This window comes from Homo sapiens, chromosome 4 (assembly GCF_000001405.40).
Source record: "Homo sapiens chromosome 4, GRCh38.p14 Primary Assembly".
Classification (NCBI taxonomy): Eukaryota; Metazoa; Chordata; class Mammalia; order Primates; family Hominidae; genus Homo; species Homo sapiens.
In genome coordinates, this window is record NC_000004.12 from 185,344,510 (window position 1) to 185,363,128 (window position 18,619).

General features: G+C 42.1%; 1 protein-coding gene across 8 annotated transcripts in view; it reads left to right on the plus strand.

Annotated features, from left to right (window-relative positions):
- SNX25 (sorting nexin 25) overlaps positions 1-18,619 on the plus strand; it is a 174,406-nt gene that overhangs the window by 140,273 nt on the left and 15,514 nt on the right. For 5 of the 8 annotated variants that reach the window (NR_186775.1, NM_001317781.2, NM_001423234.1 and 2 more), the window contains 6 exons: positions 2,028-2,141; positions 6,936-7,100; positions 8,976-9,093; positions 13,162-13,228; positions 17,415-17,596; positions 18,102-18,202. Coding sequence is in view for 7 of the 8 variants with exons in the window: in NM_001317781.2 (NP_001304710.1) it covers positions 2,028-2,141; positions 6,936-7,100; positions 8,976-9,093; positions 13,162-13,228; positions 17,415-17,596; positions 18,102-18,202 (747 nt within the window). In the remaining variant the exon portion in view is untranslated. Of the gene's footprint in view, positions 1-2,027; positions 2,142-6,935; positions 7,101-8,975; positions 9,094-13,161; positions 13,229-17,414; positions 17,597-17,682; positions 17,831-18,101; positions 18,203-18,619 lie in introns of those variants that run through there. The other 3 variants (NM_001378036.2, NM_001378035.2, NM_001378037.2) reach the window with 3 other exon arrangements.

An 18,619-nucleotide genomic window follows, 5' to 3' on the forward strand; every position in this document is an offset into this window, starting at 1 on the left:
GCATAAAGCATGGGAGCACGGGATGGGGAAAGAAAGGGAGTGGAGGTTCACAGCAGATGCCCAGGCTGTATTTCAGAATGAAAGGAAACACATACGCAGCCTGTCTCAAAGTTACATCTTGAGATTAAGGAGGAAGGAGGAAGGAAAACAAAGTTTGAAAACACGGTTTGAAGCCACGCTGCTCCTTTACAAAACCTCATGGGCACCTCTCAGACTCCTCTTCTATGAATGAAATGTGTCTCTTTTCTTTAACCTTGTCTCCAGAGTGATTTTTTAACCTGTTTTCATCACTACATACTATAATTTCTTCAACTGCTTTTTAAGGATAGTGACCCAAACTGAATGTCATGCATGCTACATTTCTCAGATGGCCTTTGGTCACCTTAGCACTGTGGAAAGCAAAAATTTGTCTCAGTATAACAATGAATTTTCCCCAGAGTTGTTGAGTAAAATTGATACTACAGAAAAATGTGTTGTTTTCTCTGTGGAAAAACTATTGTGAAACCAAAGTTTGTATCAAAACAGGAGGAAAAAGAGTTGAGGGAAAATTTTGAAATGAAATGTCTTTGGAAGGTAGAATTTACTTAGACAATCAAAACAATTAGATGGAAGCATTAAAAGAAACAAACATGAAAGTCCATGCCCGTCCTCTTTGTCATCTTTCCTCGTCTGTGGACTGATGGCTGGGCTATTCTCTTACCCCTGCCCTTTCCTACGGTGTGAGTTTTCCTGTTGTGAGAACCCTTCCTGTCGACAGCTGTGACAGGAAGTACCTTTTTGGGTACTTAGTGATTTTAGTCTTCCCTTCCAACTCTCACTGCCTGTTTCATTTCTCTGAAATTTCACAGAGCTGTTGTAAGCATGAAATAACACATGCTATGCTTCTAGCACAGTGTCTGGTAGAAGGGAGGACTTAATCCACAAAGGGTGCGCTCTTCGTACTATGAATATATTTTGTTAATATACTTACAATCTACAGTTTGCCACTGAGAGGCAGTAATAAGGCCAGGAGTGGTGACTCATGCCTGTAATTCCAGCACTTTGGGAGGCTGAGGCAGGAGGATCGCTTGTATCCAGGAGTTTGAGACTGGCCTGGACAACATAGACTTCGCCTCTACAAAAAATTTAAAAATTAGCCAGGCATGGTGGTGCATGCTTGTAGTCCCAGCTACTTGGGAGGCTGAAGTGGGAGAATCGCTTGAGCCTGGGAGATCAAGGCTGCCATGAGCCATGATCACGCCACTGCACTCAGCCTGGGTGGCAGACTGAGACCCTGTTTCAAAAAAAAAAAGGAAAGAAATGCAGTAATAGAGCTACAACCCAAGTTTTCTTTGTTCCCATTGTTTTCTTTTCTTTTTATTTTTTTTTGACTGGGTCTCACTCTGTCTCCCAGGCCCAAGTGCAGTGGTGCAACATCAGCTCACTGCAGCCTCCACCTCCTGGGTTCAAACGATTCTCCTGCCTCAGCCTCCCCAGTAGCTGGGATTACAAGCATGTGCCATCACGCCAGGCTAATTTTTTGTATTTTTAGTAGAGGCAGGGTTTCACCATGTTGATCAGGCTGGTCTTGAACTCCTGACCTCATGTGATCCAGCTTCCTTGGCCTCCCAAAGTGTTGGGATTACAGGCGTGAGCCACCACGCCCGGCCATTTTCTATTGTTAACTTTAGCTTTTTACAGAGATGTTAAAAACACAACACCTTCTAGTTGAAAAACTTTCTGTGAGCCAGGTTTCCATTTGTCACATCATGTGCCACCCTGCGTGGTGTGCAGATCCCTCGTACCAGCCTGGCCTTGTGACTTCCCAGCTCCCGGGGATCTGTAGGTTTGGGGATGTGCTTTAGTTTTTTCCATCAAAGTTTCCGTTCCTCCCAATTCTTCGAGCCTCATTAAGATGGGTAGGTTTTCACCTCAGAGGAACAAGTACAGGAGGAGGATATTTGTTTTGTTCTAATTGTTATTCTAAATCTTTTTTAAGATTAAAATGTAATTTCAAAATACTAACATTTCATTTTTTCCCCCCACAGTGCGTCCCTTCTTTAAAAAAAGTCCAGTTGCCTTCTCTTAGCAAGCTGCCTTTCAAATCTATAGATCAAAAGTTTATGGAAAAGTCGAAGAATCAATTAAATAAGTTTTTACAGGTAAGCAAGTGAAAAATGTGGGATATGAGAGAAAAAATTAGTTATTTAGGGTTAAACTGTCATCATTCTACGAGCTTGGTAGTTTGCTTTTTGTTCTCACAAGCCATGCTAGATGCTAAAAAAATATCTTGGGTGTTTTTTTTAATTAAAGGAAAATACACATATAAAAATACACGTAAGTGTATAACTGTCTCCGTTTCACAAACTGAACACACCCATGTAACCAGCACCCAGTCCAATGCACTGGTTATCACCAGCAGCCCCCAGCTTCCTCCCATCGCTGCAGCCCCTCTAAAGGCAACTGCTGTCCCGACTTCCAGCACCATAGATCAGTTACAGTTGTCTTTCAACTTTATATAAATGGAACCGTATAGTGTGAATTCCTTCGTTTCTGACTTCTTTCACTCATTATGTTCATAGGACTCATCCATCCTGTCATCTTAGTTGTAGATGATTCATTTTCGTTGCTGTGAGAGGTTTTCATCGTGTGAATACACTGCATTCCAAATTCATTCCGTTGTTGATGAGCCTTTGGCTCCTTTCCACTCTGAGGCTTTTACAAAGGGTGCTTATATAAACGTCTAGTACTTGTCTTTTGACAAATATCTGTCGGCTGATGCCCAGAGATTAGGATTTCTCCATTTTTCTTCATGGTCACAGCAGTTTTATACTCTCCCCAGCAGTGTGTAAGGGTTCTGATTGCTCCACATCCTCACCAACACTTATCTTTTGCGTTTTTATTCTTAGCCATTTTGGGTGTAGTAGTATCTCATTGTGTTTGGGGGGTTTGGTGTTTTTTTTTGTTTTCTTTTGTTTTGTTTTGTTTTGTTTTGTTTTGAGACGGAGTTTCGCTCTTGTTGCCCAGGCTGGAGTGCAATGGCGCGATCTTGGCTCACCGTAACCTCTGCCTCCCGGGTTCAAGTGATTCTCCTGCCTAAGCCTCCCAAGTAGCTGGGATTACAGGCGCCTGCCACCACGCCTGGCTAATTTTTGTATTTTTAGTAGAGACGGGGTTTCTCCGTGTTGGTCAGGTTGGTCTCAAACTCCCAACCTCAGATGATCTGCCCACCTCGACCTCCCAAAGTGCTGGGACTACAGGCGTGAGCCACTGTGCCCGGCCATTTGTTGTGTCTCCTTTTCTATTGTGCTGCTGCTCATCCTTTCCATAATGTTTTATGGGTTTGTCCATGTTCTGGATCTGAGTTCCTTGTCAGATCTTACGTGCTACAAATATTGTCCCCCTTTCTATGGATTGCCTTTTACTTAATGATTGCTTTTAATGAACAGATGTTCTCAATTTTAATTTAGCCCACTTTATCATTTTTTTTATCTTATGGTTAATGCCTTTTGCACCTATTAAGAAATCTTGGCCTACTCCAAGGCCCTGAAGATATTTTCTTAATTTCCTTTAAACACTTTATTATTTTCTATCAGTCTGTTTTTAAATAATAAGGCCAAAGGTGTACTGTCCTCAATAACAACCACTTTTTTTTCCTTTGCTGCACCATCTATATTCAGAGTATAATTGTTAATCACACTTTGGATCTTAAAGCCCTGAAGTTCTCAGAGGCATGGAACTTTGCCTCATAAAACATGTTTTGCCTCTGCAGTAGAAGCTAGACATTCTGAGACTGAAAAAAAATGTTCTGAATATTTGTATCCTTTAAAGAATTCTTTAAATTGACATTGCACTTGTACATATTTATGAGGTACAGTTTGGCATTTTGATACATGTATATCATTTCTTTATTTTTTTTTTTGAGACAGACTCTTGCTCTCTTGTCCAGGCTGGAGTGCAGTGGTGCAATCTCAGCTCACTGCAACCTCCGCCACCTGGGTTCAAGCAGTTCTCCTGCCTCAGCCCCCCAAGTAGCTGGGATTACAGACAGGCTCATGCCACCACACCTGGTTAATTTTTGTATCTTTAGTAGAGACGGGGTTTCATCATGTTGGACAGGCAGGTCTCGAACTCCTGACCTCAGGTGACCAATCTGCCTCGGCCTCCCAGAGTGCTGGGATTACAGGTGTGCGCCACTGTGCCCAGCCACATTTATCATTTCTTCGTGGTGAGAACATTAAAAAACCTTTCTTCTAGCTCCTTTTTGATATATAATACTTTACTGTTAGCCATAGTCACCCTACTGAGCAACAGAACACCAGAACTTTTTCCTCCTGTTAAATTGTAACTTTCTAGCCACTGACCAATCTCTCCCATCCTTTCCTCCCCAGTCTCTGGTAACCACCTCTCTGTACCTCTAATATATCAATTTTTTTTCAGATTATACAGATGAGTGGGATCATGCAGTATTTGTCTTTCTGTACCTAGTCTGTTTCACTCAACTTATGTCCTCCAGGTTCATTCATGTTGTTGCAATTGACAGGATTTCATTCTTCTTTATGGCTGAATAATATTCCATCATGTATATCGGGGGGTTCGATCTTTTGGCTTCCCTGGTCCACAATGGAAGAAGAAGGATTGTCTTGGGCCACACATAAAATACACTAACCCTAACGACAGCTGATGAGCTTAAAAAAAATCACAAAAAATTCTCATAATGTTTTAAGAAAGTTCACAAATTTGCATTGGGCTGCATGTAGCCCGCGGGCTGTGGGTTGGACAAGCTTGATGTATGTATACCACGTTTTCTCTATCCAGTCATCTGTTGGACGCCTAAGTTGATGCCATGTCTTGCCTCTTTATTATAAATAGTGCTGCTTTAAATGGGAATGCAGATATATCTTTGACATACTGATTTCATTTCCTTTGGATGTATATCCAGTACTGACATTGCTGGATCTTATGGTAGCTCTATTTTTAATTTTTTGAGGAGCCTCCATACCCTTTTTCATAATGACTGTACTAATTTACAATCCCACCAACAGTGTACAAGGGTTCCCTTTTCTTTCATATCCTTGCCAACACTTCTTTTCTTTTGTCTGGTGTGAGATGGTATCTCCTGGCTTTGACTTATATTTCCCTATTCATGAGGTTGATCATTTTTTCATATACCTGTTTTCCATTTTTATGTTTTCATTTGTGTCTATTCAAGTCCTTTGCCCACTTTTTAATGGGATTATTGTGTGTGTGTGTGTTTTGCTGTTGAATTGTTTGAGTTGTTTTCCTTCATTTGAATATAATTTAAGGCCAAAGATTTACATCTGTAATGATTTCCCTATTAATATGCTGATTGTATTAAGTTTGGGACTTAACCATTAGTATATCCTGCTATTTTGTAAAATGTTAGAGAGTAGATGAGTGAAGGACATCAAGATGGGGGAGAACATCTCACTACTCCTGATCCATCCTCACATACAGGTTGAACTGACCATTTAATTCTGAAAAACGAATGAAGACTGTCTGCAGGGTTCAGGGACAGGGAGGGCAGTAGGGGCACTGCCCATCCCCCTTAATCTCCTTCTCAATGGCCATGGCAGGGCCTGCCCACCTCCAGGCCAGTCTCCTGCAGGGTACGTGAATGCTGATGGTGTTCCGTGGACCCCTTGTCCCCAGCGGGGCAGTATTGGGCCCTCTCAGAGGTGATTTTTCTAGGGAGGGTCATAGCGTTCGTCAGGTCATTAGCCATCTAAACAAATAGGATGTTGCCATCATGGACCAACCCCTCTGGAACTAGACCTGAACTTCCACCTCCCCCACACTCTGTCATCAGAGGCATAGCTGGCTTCTGAGTGTTCCATCTCCCTATGTGGCTGACAGTTCTTATAGGTTTACATATTCCTAAGCCCAGTGTCTTATAATACTAGATGTGTAAATATTCTGTGGTCACATTGTTAATTCTGCTGTCTTACCATAGCACTTGTACATAGACAAGCTCGATTTATGTTCTTCTTTACTCTCTCCTAAGGTCAGGTAAGTACATACAGAACTTTGGGAACTTTCCAGTTTGAGGGCTGGTAGAAACTGTTATATATGGCCAGGCACGGTGGCTCACGCCTGTAATCCCAGCACTTTGGGAGGCTGAGGCGGGCAGATCACGAGGTCAGGAGCTCGAGATCAGCCTGGCCAATATGGTGAAACCCCATCTCTACCAAAAAATGCGAAAATTAGCCAGTCATGATGGTGTGCACCTGTAGTCCCAGCTACTTGGGAGGCTGAGGCAGGAGAATTGCTGGAACCCAGGAGGCAGAAGTTGCGGTGAGCCAAGATGGCGCCACTGCACGACATCCTGGATGACCGAGTGAGACTCCGTCTCAAAAAAAAAGAAAAGAAAAGAAATTGTTACATAATTATGTAAATGCGCACTGCCTGGAAAGTGGCAGCACTGGGAAATGAAACTATTGCCTGGCAGGTAGTGCCACCATGTGAAAACTCAAAGTTCTTTTTTTCAGCTGATGTACAAAGTCTGAATATAACCATAAAAGGGCAATTTAGAGGTATCCATGTGTAATTTGCAAAAATTTAAGTTGGTCAAACACAGATGACTGAAAGTTGTATTTCAAAAGTGGTAGCGCCTGGGATCTGTGAGCTGTAAAGTAAGAATTTTCTGTTGCACCAAGCAGTGCAAAGCGGAGTGAGTTCTGCCTTTTGCATAGTTATCTCCCATGAGCAGAGTGATTTGGGCACTACTAGTTAACCTGGAGGGGATTGTTTGCCATTAAGATCATTAAGAATTGATCTTATATAGTTTGTTTCAGGGGGAAAGGGAAGTGGTTTTCGGTTCAGAAGTCTGATGAAAGTAAATTCGTGACAGCTCTGCCTCGCTCACCTTTACTTGTAGCTCCCAGCCACACAGATAGTTTCCCACACTGGAGCAGTTAATCCTCTTTCTTCCATAGAATCTGCTTTCAGATGAAAGACTGTGTCAGAGTGAAGCACTTTATGCCTTCTTGAGCCCTTCTCCTGACTACCTCAAGGTTATCGACGTGCAGGGGAAAAAAAATTCTTTTTCATTATCCTCATTTTTGGAAAGACTTCCTCGCGACTTCTTCTCCCACCAGGAGGTGAGCCGTTGAAAGAGTGAACCACTTTTGTAGTGTATTTCAGCAGATACTAAGCTCATGCTCCTCATGGGGGGAAGCAAATCCCTCTATTTTCAGTCATTAGCACTGTCACATTTTGAGGCACCTGCTTGTATTTCTGTATCTTAATTCTTCCAAGTGACTTGCAGGGGAGGACAGAGTGGTTTTACCACTTCGGAGTTGGTAAGTGAAATGCGAGTAGGAAGTTCTGCAGGAGCCCCGCTACACACGGGGCGCCAGTCCCCAGGTCGGGGGAGGCCAAGTGCGGGCCGTCATTGCGGGGTGGGGGGGTTCATGCTGAAGGTTCACAGTAGAGGAGGTTGTGTTTATGGAACAGGCCGGAGGTCGTTGGCCTGGACTGGAGGGTTGGTGCCGTGCTCTAATGGAAGATTAAGTACAGCATAGAAGTGGGGAGGGGCAAGGTTCACGCCAGGCTGAGAGTTTAGGCTGTATTCTCAGGCATGAAGAAGCATGGGATATTCTGAAGCAGGATGATCTGGCAATGGTATGTGGATAAGGGAAAGTATAGAGCCTGCAGAGCTTTCGATCTCATCTTCTGAACCCCAGACTTCTCCCCCAGAGTAGGCTGTGCACTCCTGTTCACACCACGGAGGCGCCTTGCCTGGCCCTCTAGCAAATTGCACAGGACCAGCTCTGAAATGTGGCTTCCCCTCAGTCCATTGCCAAATGCTACTGCCTCTTCACCAGAGGTGGCTTCGAGTTTGGACAGAGGAACTGATGGTGAAAAGCAGCATGCTGCTCTTCTGCATTCTCAGCTGGGGCGGAAGTCAGCACGTCCCACAGAGCACACCCACACCTGCTCCAGTCCACACATCTACCCACGGCCCCCCAAGCATCTCCCACCTCTTTCCTTCATGTGTCCGTCTGTACTTGGCTGCTTACCTGTCTCACCTCCCTTTTATTCCTGAACCCCTGGAGTTAATATATGACTCAGTCACTCTATGAAGTGACTCTGAAGCTGCCAGTGGCTTCCTCTCAGTCTTTACCTTTCTCAGCCTCTTTTGAGGCGTTTGCTGTTGCTGGATTTCTGTGATGCTGTTTTTAGGGAACTCCTCCAGCCTCTATGACTTCCCTGTCCCTTCCTCTGCTCGCCTGATGTAAGTAAGTATCTCCCAAAGACCTGCCTGGGCTCGCACTTCAGCTCCTACCTCTACACAGACACTGCAGTGCCCATCCTCAGCTGCCCTCCAGCACCTAATGTTTGCAGCTCTGGGACAGCACTGTCTCCTGCCCTATCATAACACCTGCCTGTGTGTCTGTCAGTCTCCCCAGAAGGCAGTGGGCCACAGAAGTCTAGATCCCCCTCACACTCATTTGCATTATCCTGTTGCCTGGTATGTCATGAGTTTTTAACTGAAACCTGCTGATGCGCAGATCAAGAAATGGGACTAGCTGAAGGACAGAATAAAAGCTTAAGTCACAGCTTTAAAAATAACTAAATTACTTTAAAATGCATGTTTGAAAAAAAGCAGTGAATTTAAAATTATTTACTTCCTGCTGTTTTAAGGGAGTGAAAAATAAAAAATAAGTTAAAAGCCTTAGTTTTGAAATTCAAAATGGTTAGAAAACTATTTTATTGTCTATTAATTCACTGATTATAATACAGCGACAGATTTTTTTTTAAATTAGCTTATTTTAAGCCTTGAATAAGGCTCGAGAATCAAGCTTTTCTGAATCTGTCCTCTGTGTTGAAAATGGTAGTTTCTGCATGAAAACTAAAGAATTAAGGCTAAAATACGAGCAGATAGTTTGGAATTTACACTTGAAGAGGGAGAACAACTCTACCAATTTTCTTGGATAAGTTATCTGCTTCCTATGACTTTGCTGTATTCCCAGGAGGAGACAGAGGAGGACAGTGACCTGTCAGATTATGGTGATGATGTGGATGGGAGGAAAGACGCCTTGGCTGAACCATGTTTCATGTTGATTGGGGAGATTTTTGAACTTCGAGGAAGTAAGCTTCTTTGTTATTATTTAGTGGTATTTGCTAGTTAAGTGGTATATATAATCGTACATTCACATGCATTTAATATCCCTTTATTGCTGAAATGCATCAGACATGTATTTATATTCATGCATCCATTCATTCAACATAGCCTTTTAAGAGCCAACCCAGGCCGGGCACGGTGGCTCACGCCTGTAATCCCAGCACTTTGGGAGGCCAAGGCGGGTGGATCATGAAGTCAAGAGATCAAGACCATCCTGACCAACATGGTGAAACCCCGTTTCTACTAAAAATACAAAAATTAGCCGGGCATGGTGGCGCATGCCTGTAATCCCAGCTACTTGGGAAGCTGAGGTGGGAGAATTGCTTGAACCCAGGAGGTGGAGGTTGCAGTGAGCCAAGATCGCACCACTGCACTCCAGCCTGGGTAACAGCGAGACTCCGTCTCAAAAAAAAAAAAAAAAAGAGCCAACCAGATACTATGCTATATATACAACCCCAAGACAGATATCATCTCTGTCCTAACGTAACATAGCGTCCTGATTTACTCTGCCCCATGTTCCTCTGACTACAGAAGGTTAGAATCCTTCACGTTGCTTTTTATGTGACTTGGCATAGCTTCCATTGCCTTGTCACTAAAAGTTATACAGAAAACTGTTTTGCTTAGCACAGAAGAATCCTGTTGTTAAAGGTGAGTGTTGGTGTTAGGATAATTCCATGGCCAAGGACGTGGGAATGCCTCCACCCTATTTTTCAGCTACCTTTTTTCCTCTTGAGCAGTAGTTCTTCATGGAGGGAAGGAGGGACATATGGTGATGTCTGAAAATGTTTTTGATTGTCTTAACTTGGAGTGAGGGGTGCTACTGGCATCTAGCAGGTAGAGTCTGGGATACTGCTAAACATTCTACTGTGCTCAGGACAGCCCCGCGGCAGAGTTGTCCTGCCCCCAATGACAGTAATGCTGGAGTTGAGAAATCCTACCCTAGTGAATCCTCAAGGAGAGATGTACGTAGAAGAAACCATTGTAAAATGGGGATCAAAGTTCCATTTCCTTAAGAGCTATACAAGTGCCTCTCCCTGAAAGCATCACCTTGGTGAAAGGTAAACTGGACTCCATGGCTTAGTGTTGAGCGTTGAATAGGACTTAATGCTACTCTCCGTCCACACATTCACAGCTCCCAACACTCTAAATCTTGACACCAGTAGACTTTGTCATACCTAGAGCCTCAGTACCAGCTAGAGATATGGCAGGTGCCCACGGGCACACCTGACCACCTCGAAGAGGAAGCAAATGAGAAGAGCAAGGGTTAGTAAGACTCAGTAGTGGCACCAGCCAGCCAAATAGTGCAGCGTCCATGTCCTGGGCTCTGTCCGTTCACATCAGCACCTTTTCCCTTGAGACAAAGGAGTAGGCTACCAGTTGGTCTTACATAGGAAATGGGGCTGTGGATCCCTTCTCATTTATAAATCCCTTAACATGTCACTTAAAGAATTATTAACAGATGAAAAAATTTCAAGTGCAACTTGAATTTGTCTTCTGTGTCTTAATCCTCAGTATCTACTACAATGCCTGACCCATGGTAGGGGATCAGTAAAATGCCTGGATGGATGCACTGATGAGTGAATAGGCAAGAAAAATGTTAAGTGCCAGAATGAATTACCTTTGCTCATTGACCTTTTTCTCCTTCTGAGCCAAAGCTAAGAGAATATATAATGTCAATCATCAAAGACTTTGAGAGCTTCTGAGCCAAAGCTAAGAGAATATAAAATGTCAGTCATCAAACACTTTGAGAGCATATGTTTTAGATACAGATCTGTAGGGAAACAAAACCATATCAGATACAGATTCTGCCATCAGTGAATTTACAGATTAAGGGTCCAAAAATGTAATTCACATTAAGCAATAGACAAAGTTAAATTCTAAAGTGCAGGCAGAGATTTACACATAAGGATATTTTAGCATAATTACAATAATGAAAAGTTGGAACTAAGATAAATTTTAGAAATGGAAGATAACTTATTTAAGAAATATCTATATGATGGAATATCATCCACATATGAAAAATCCTTTCAGATAAAAAACCTAATAGCTTTTTAATATTTGAGACACTTTAAGACATATACAGTGATGTTTAACTTGATTCAATATAGACAAATAGTAATCCACCCAAAGTCTGACTCTTGTTTGGTGAAATGTGGCCCATTAAATCATGAGTCTCCCCAGTTTCCTACAGAGTTGATAAGAATGAGGACACTGTCCTAGGCTTCATCATTGTTTTTGTCTTTGCTATTGGTACAGAGCTTAAGAGATACAGTAGGCATGTCAGAGCCAGTATCAGCTGGAGCAGGGCTCCTCACCATGCCTGCGGCATGCACTTCCTCCATCTCTGCCTGCTCGGAACATATTCGGTTTTGCTAGTGGCATTTCAGAGAGAATAAATAGAACCTCATATATAATGAGATGTGATCTATTCGTCGTCAGCAGAATCCTAGTGCTGCTGCAGCTGCCTCTGTGGCTTTGAGCAAACAAGCCTTTGGAGTAATGGGGCTCGCGTGTGTGTGTGTGTGTATCGGGGGGTTACTGGGGACTAGGGAAGGTGAGGGAAAAGTAATAGAGTAAGGGGCTATCAGTGATAGAAAATTTGTAGCAAAATGAGTTTTGGTTTCTGCTCTAGTTTACAAAAAGGGACCAGTAATACCCCTGGCCCCCTTTTTAAAAATAACCCCTTGGTCGTCAGGCACTCTTCCTAGAGTTGCACTTGTCCTCAGACCCTCTAGGTATGAGCCACCTCTTTCCTGCCCTAGAAAGACAAAGTGAAGTTATCATCACTGATAGACATGCTCATCCCAGCCTCAATGCCAACCTAAAATGAACATGCTTGGCAGCATTCCAGCAAATTCCATCAAAAAGTTTAAGACATTTTTGACGTTTGATTCCGACTCCAAGACTTGACTTTACGTGAAGAATTCATACTACTTTAACTGGATATTTTGATCCATTAAAAAAATTAGAAATGGCTTTAGAGTATATTAATGTCTAGTGCCAAGTCTGTGTTTTCTATGATTTCTATTTGTGTGGTTGCCCTTGTACAGAGACTTCTGTGAATTTGCCATTGTTAGCTTTTCTTAGTGGGTACAAGAGCCCCGAACTCTTGGCTCCATTATGACTGAGTCTGAATTTCTTATTTCCTCGTATGTCAGTAGCCAAACACTTCAATAGATGGAGGTGAATATATAAATGAAAATTTTGGTTTAGGTTCCAATTTGTGGACCTAAAATATCCTCATAGCATTTCTTTGCCTTCTGTTGGTTTATGTTCAGTTTCTATACCTATAAAAATGTGTCTCTATGTTAACAATAAAAGTTTAGGTCTGTAGAACCCTTCACAGTCTTTCTCACACACGGGGAAAGACCTTCAGAGCAAAGAAAGGCACATGTTAATACCTTCCTTTCCAGATGAGGAAATTGGGGTTCAGAGAAGGTGACTTGTGCCCTCCTGCTATGGGGGTGGCACTGGAGACGGCCAAATTCATTTCTCATTCAGGGTCCTGCCTCTTCACCATTCACTTATCCTCTCCCAAATGCGTAGTATATATAAAGTACACAGTGATCTGCAAACCGCTTCAAACAGGAACAGTTAGACCCATCCGTTCATTAATATTTCAAAATATTTGACTACAGATGTTTCTCATTCAGCAGTGTGTTCAAAAAGTGGGTTCAGCAAGCCAGACAGAAATCTAAAATAGGAATTACACTGTGTGGTGGTGGAAAACAGACACGTTGTCAATAGCCCAGGGACAGATGAAGCACTCTTTCCGCTTGCGAGCTCAGCTGTTGGGAGGCACTGAAACACTGTAAAAACTCTGCTTTCATCTCATCAGTTGCTTGGTAGAAAATGAAAGCCTAGTCAGAAGAGTTTTCCTGACCTAAACCCAAATTCTGCAGATGTCATAGCCATGACTTGATGGCAGGACTGAAATCATCTTAAGTGGTAAGATTTATGCTTTGTACAGCTATGAAAATGTCCCAAATTGTGATGCCCTGTGATAAAAAGTTTTCCTCTGGTTTCTGTTTCAGTGTTTAAATGGGTGAGAAGAACATTAATTGCCCTCGTTCAGGTCACTTTTGGAAGAACCATCAACAAGTGAGTTGTATGAAATTAATATTTGGATCCATGCCCTACTCTTTTGCCTTGACAGTCAAATTACCTTATGATCTAGCAGCCAGTCATTTAACTGAAAGTCTTTAATTTTCTCTCACTTTTCGTTTCTGATATGATTCTAAGATTGGATAGGAGAGTCGATTTCTAAAAGAATTTCTCCCACAGAATGCATATGGCAAGTTAGATAAGAAAAGCTTGAGCTACTTCCACACTCTGACTGGCGAGGGTCAGGAGGTTGTACTCTGTAGAGCTCCCCTTTAATCATGACGACGAGTTTGAGTATCTTGAGTAGAATGTTTTTATGTCAAATAATGAGAATCAGTTTAAGGTTCAGACTCTAAGCCAGAAGGCAAGTAGGATGAGCATCACATGGCAGGCGTTTACTTAGAGGAAAATACAGACCATGTATTAAGGTTTTCACAGTTGTGTAGCACTGAAGTGCTAACTCTTCTTGTTAGTTAATATCTGCGTATCCACTGGGGTGTGTGTGTGGCCCTGTCATCTAGCACTGTTACAAGCCATATGTCTATTCTAAACTATATTATATTATCCATATACATAAAGGCATTATATATGTATCCCAGTCTTTCACTGAGTGTTCTAATGTTGCTCATAAAAAGTGATCCACATTTTGATCATGCATTTATGAAAGCCCTGGGTTTGTTATTGAGAACTCAATTAATATAGTCAATTATTATTAGTTTCTAAGAAATTATTGGAATTTTTCATAACTGCAAAGTCATGTAGCCAATAGAAGTTGAATAGAATTATTTAGATCGGTTTAGGCCTGAAAGGGTGTCCTAGCGATTAGTCTCACTTCTCATTTTGTTGGTGAAGAAGTGGAACCAAAGAGATCAACTGCTTGTCTGAAGTCACCAGACCCGTTAGCTGACCTAACCTGGCCCCCTGGTCTGGTGCCTGCTTCATCTCTGTGCCTGGAATTTGGAAGTACTGTTATCAAGATCTTTTATATGGTAACTCTATACCCAGAATTGTTCACAAGATAAACATTATGATTTCCTGCAGAATAGGAATATGAGTCAACGTCTAGAAATTTAAAAAAAAATCACTTTTTTATATAACAAAATAAGTTTTAAGATGAAATTATCAGATTTTCCCAAGTGAAAGATTTAGTGGTCAGACATTTGTACAAGATTAGTATAATAGTTTTACCATATAAAGCTTATAAATTTTAATAGGAAACACTGTAAAGAACATTTGCTATTTTTTTATTGATTTGCCAATGAATATATTTTCCTTGTGGTCAGAAACAAAGTTTACTTCTACTTAAGATTTTAAAAAAAGAGTTTTAGTTGGCTGGGCACAGTGGCTCATGCCTATAATCCCAGCATTTTGGAAGGCTGAGACGGGCATATTGCTTCAGCCCAGAAGTTTACGACCAGCCTGGGCAACATGGTGAGACCCTGTCTCTACAGAAAATAAAAAAATTAGGTGTGGTAGTACACGCATGCCTGTGATTCCAGCTCCTCAGGAGGCTCAGGCGGGAGAACTGCTTGAGTCCAGGAGGTCAAGGCTGCCATGAGCCACTGCATTCCAGCCTGAATGAAACAGCAAGACCCTTTCTCAAAAAAAAAAAAAGTTTTAGTTGCCCGTCAGAGGCTTGTTTAGTTGACCTAAGTATCATAGGCTTTTGTTTTACTCAGAAAAAATGGCCTGTTTAATTTTTTGTTTTAGTCTAAGGCAAACAAATCTCTTTTGTATTGACAAGCCTTAGATAAAGAAATTCCCAAAAAAAGGCCAGGCGCGGTGGCTCACGTCTGTAATCCCAGCACTTTGGGAGGCCGGAGCAGGTGGATCACTTGATGTCAGGAGTTCGAGATCAGCCTGGCCAACATGACAAAACCCCATCTCTACTAAAAATACAAAAATTAGCTGGGCATGGTGGGTGCATGCACCTGTAATTAAAAGAAATTCCCAAAATGGCCTTCTTTTTCTCAGGACTCAGGACTTGCTAATCTATTTTCCTTTTCAGTGTCAGCAAATCATGCATGCTTTCATTGCTCCTATTTATGATATTGGCTGTTAATTATAAAATGAGCGGCTGCATGTTGTGAGTGGTGCATACATCGGGCAGTAATTTTCACAGGGATGGAGAAGAGGCACATGTAGAGGATTTCCAGGCTGTCCATTTCAGTGGGCTTTTTATCAAGTAGCGATCATGGCGCACATGGTTCTTTGCTGTTTTTGCCTTCAGCAGATGATGACTCATGACAGAATTCAGCAGCAGCACAGTGCGTGTCTCTTGCCTTGCAGTAACTACAATTTCACATGCTAGAATTGCTTCAAAAGCATCAGACAGGTTTCAGCTGATAGAAAGTCAGATCTAAATCAGTAGAAAATAACTTAGATGATGACCTTTATTAAGAGTCGCTTCCTAATCTCAAGTTGTAAACTGAAATTTTAGGAAGCTAGGCAGGCAGGTCAGCAGATTCTCTCTTAAACCACAAGTTCTGTTAAATCAATAAACTTATTTTATATGGTCTAGATTTGAATTGCACAGTTCCAAGAAAGAGAAGAGTCTAGGAGATACGCAGTTATAGATGGAGATAACAGTGTAGTTTGACTCATAGCAGTGACCGACTACTATGTGCAAAGTACTGGACTTGAAACATCTACTGCAGATGTTATTTCTGAAACCTTGTGTTGTCCATTTAAAATTCTGGTTGGAAGTCAGATTCTTAAAAGGCTTTTTAATATATTATTATTCATGAATTGAATTTGAAATTTGAGGTCTTTCTGGCACAAATAGTCTAAGATGATTCTTTTCCCCTTTTCAATGGAGAGGCTTTTCTCCTCCCAACCTCACAACTACTCTTGGGCTCTTTGAACTGTGTGTAGTAGTCTCTTGACAGCAGAGGACCTGTAACTGGTTAGAATGTGACCAATGACTGGCCGGGTGCGGTGGCTCACGCCTGTAATCCCAGCACTTTGGGAGGCCGAGGTGGGCCAATCCTGACACAGTGAAACCCCAGCTCTACTAAAAATACAAAAAATTAGCTGGGCATGGTGGCACACGCCTGTAGTCCCAGATACTCGGGAGGCTGAGGCAGGAGAATCGCTTGAACCCAGGAGGCAGAGGTTGCAGTGAGCCGAGATTGTGCCACTGCACTCCAGCCTGGGCAACAGAGCGAGACTCCGTCTCAAAAAAAAAATAATATATATATATATATATATATAGAATCTGTCTAATGACTAACGAAATGGGGTTGTGTAGAAGACCTGGGTAACCAAATAAAATGCATAACTGTGCAAGTCAAATGGCTGCCACCCAGTCTTCATTCTTGGGGAATTTTGAAATTGGCCACATAGCAGTGTATTTTTGAAAGGGACTATCTTTTTCCTTGCCTCATGGGCATATGAAGTGCTTCATCTGGATCCGAGTATCCTGCCCAGCATTCTCTGCCATAGCAACACTAAAAGACAGCTACGGAAAGCCTGCTCCTCCTGCGGAACTTCAGGACCTCAGGGAGGTTTTCCAGACCACTTCCAACAGTCTTTAAATGGATTTATGTTTTCACCTTATACCACTTCATGGAAATGCTGCAGTCTGCAGACAAATCAGTCTCTCAGTTCTTGTCTTTATAGATTGAACACAGCCAACATTTGGAGAAGTTAGTGCCAATGACAAAATTATCTCCAGGAATAACTGCTCATGCAGTATTACCAAAATAAAAAAATGGGCCAGGCACGGTAGCTCATGCCTCTAATCCCAGCACCTTGGGAGGCTGAGGCGGGTGGATCACCTGAGTTCAGGAGTTTGAGACCAGCCTGGCCAACATGGCGAAACCCCGTCTCTACTAAAAATACAAAAATCAGCCAGGCATGGTGGCACGTGCCTGTAGTCCCAGCTGCTCGGGAAGCTGAGGCAGGAGAATCACTTGAACCTGGGAGGCAGAGGTTCCAGTGAGCCGAGATCACACCACTGCACCCCAGCCTGTGTGAAAAAGCAAGACTCCATCTCAAAAAATAATAATAATTAAAAATATATATAACTTTCAGAGCCAGAGTTTAAAAAATCCAATTCCTAGTTTATTCATCAAACACTTAGATCAGGCTGTATCTTAACCTTCGTATTGATAAGTGCCTTTTGAGAATAGAGTACACAATTTTTAAAAACCTCATCCAAGAAATCTTTTTCTCTTAAAAGACAAATCCGGGACACAGTCAGCTGGATTTTCAGTGAGCAAATGTTGGTTTACTACATCAATATTTTCCGGGATGCTTTTTGGCCAAATGGGAAGTTGGCACCACCGACCACAATCAGAAGCAAAGAGCAAAGTCAGGAAACAAAACAGAGAGCACAGCAAAAGCTGCTTGAAAACATTCCAGGTGAGGCCTGGGCTATTAGCCTGAAAAGCATAGAGATCTGAGGGAATGTGAACCCCACTGAGGTGATTTTCATTTATGTCTTGCAGGAAACATTCTTTACAATGAAAAAAAAAAGGATCATACTCTTTTAAGCCATTTTTTGTCACTTGCTAAGAAGTTATACTGAGAATGTTAAGAACTTGAAAAATGTTTTAGAACAGATAATAAACTTTGTGTTTTGGAAATCCTGCTAAAGTATCGTGTTTTGAGAGCTTAATTTTTAGCAAAATATTAACATTTTAATTATTAAAATTCGTAGTTGAAAAATATTAAAATTGTAATTTGTATAAGTGCCTTATGTTGAAACATTCTTTCCTGAAGCATTTGAGAGAACTGACCATTCATGTTTCTCATGCCTCCATGTGTTTATTGACTGAAGGTGTATAATGTTGTATTCCTTTCACTGCAAAGCTATGCACTGAGCACTTTATCAATAGCAGCATAGAATCTACACTTAATTTTTCAGATATGCTTCAGAGCCTTGTTGGACAGCAAAATGCCCGCCACGGTATAATAAAAATATTCAATGCACTGCAAGAAACAAGAGCCAACAAGCATCTGTTATATGTGAGTAAATTAAAGCCCAGGGGGTTTCCTGCTTTATTTTTGTCTGTTTCTTCGTTTGGTCAGAAAAAACATGTGCCCCAGTGGCTGCAGCACTCTCATTCTCACATACTAGTCATCTCCCTTGACTTTTTTTTTTTTTTTTTTTTTTGAGACAGAGTTTCGCTCTTGTCCCCCAGGCTGGAGTGCAATGGCACGATCTTGGCTCACTGCAACCTCTGCCTGCTGGGTTCAAGTGATTCTCCTGCCTCAGCCTCCCGAGTAGCTGGGATTACAGGCATGCACTACCATGCCCAGCTAACTTTTGTATTTTTAGTAGAGATGGGGTTTCGCCATGTTGGCTGGGATGGTCTCTAACTCCTGACCTCAGGTGATCTGTCTGCCTCAGCCTCCCAAAGTGCTGGGATTACAGGCGGGAGC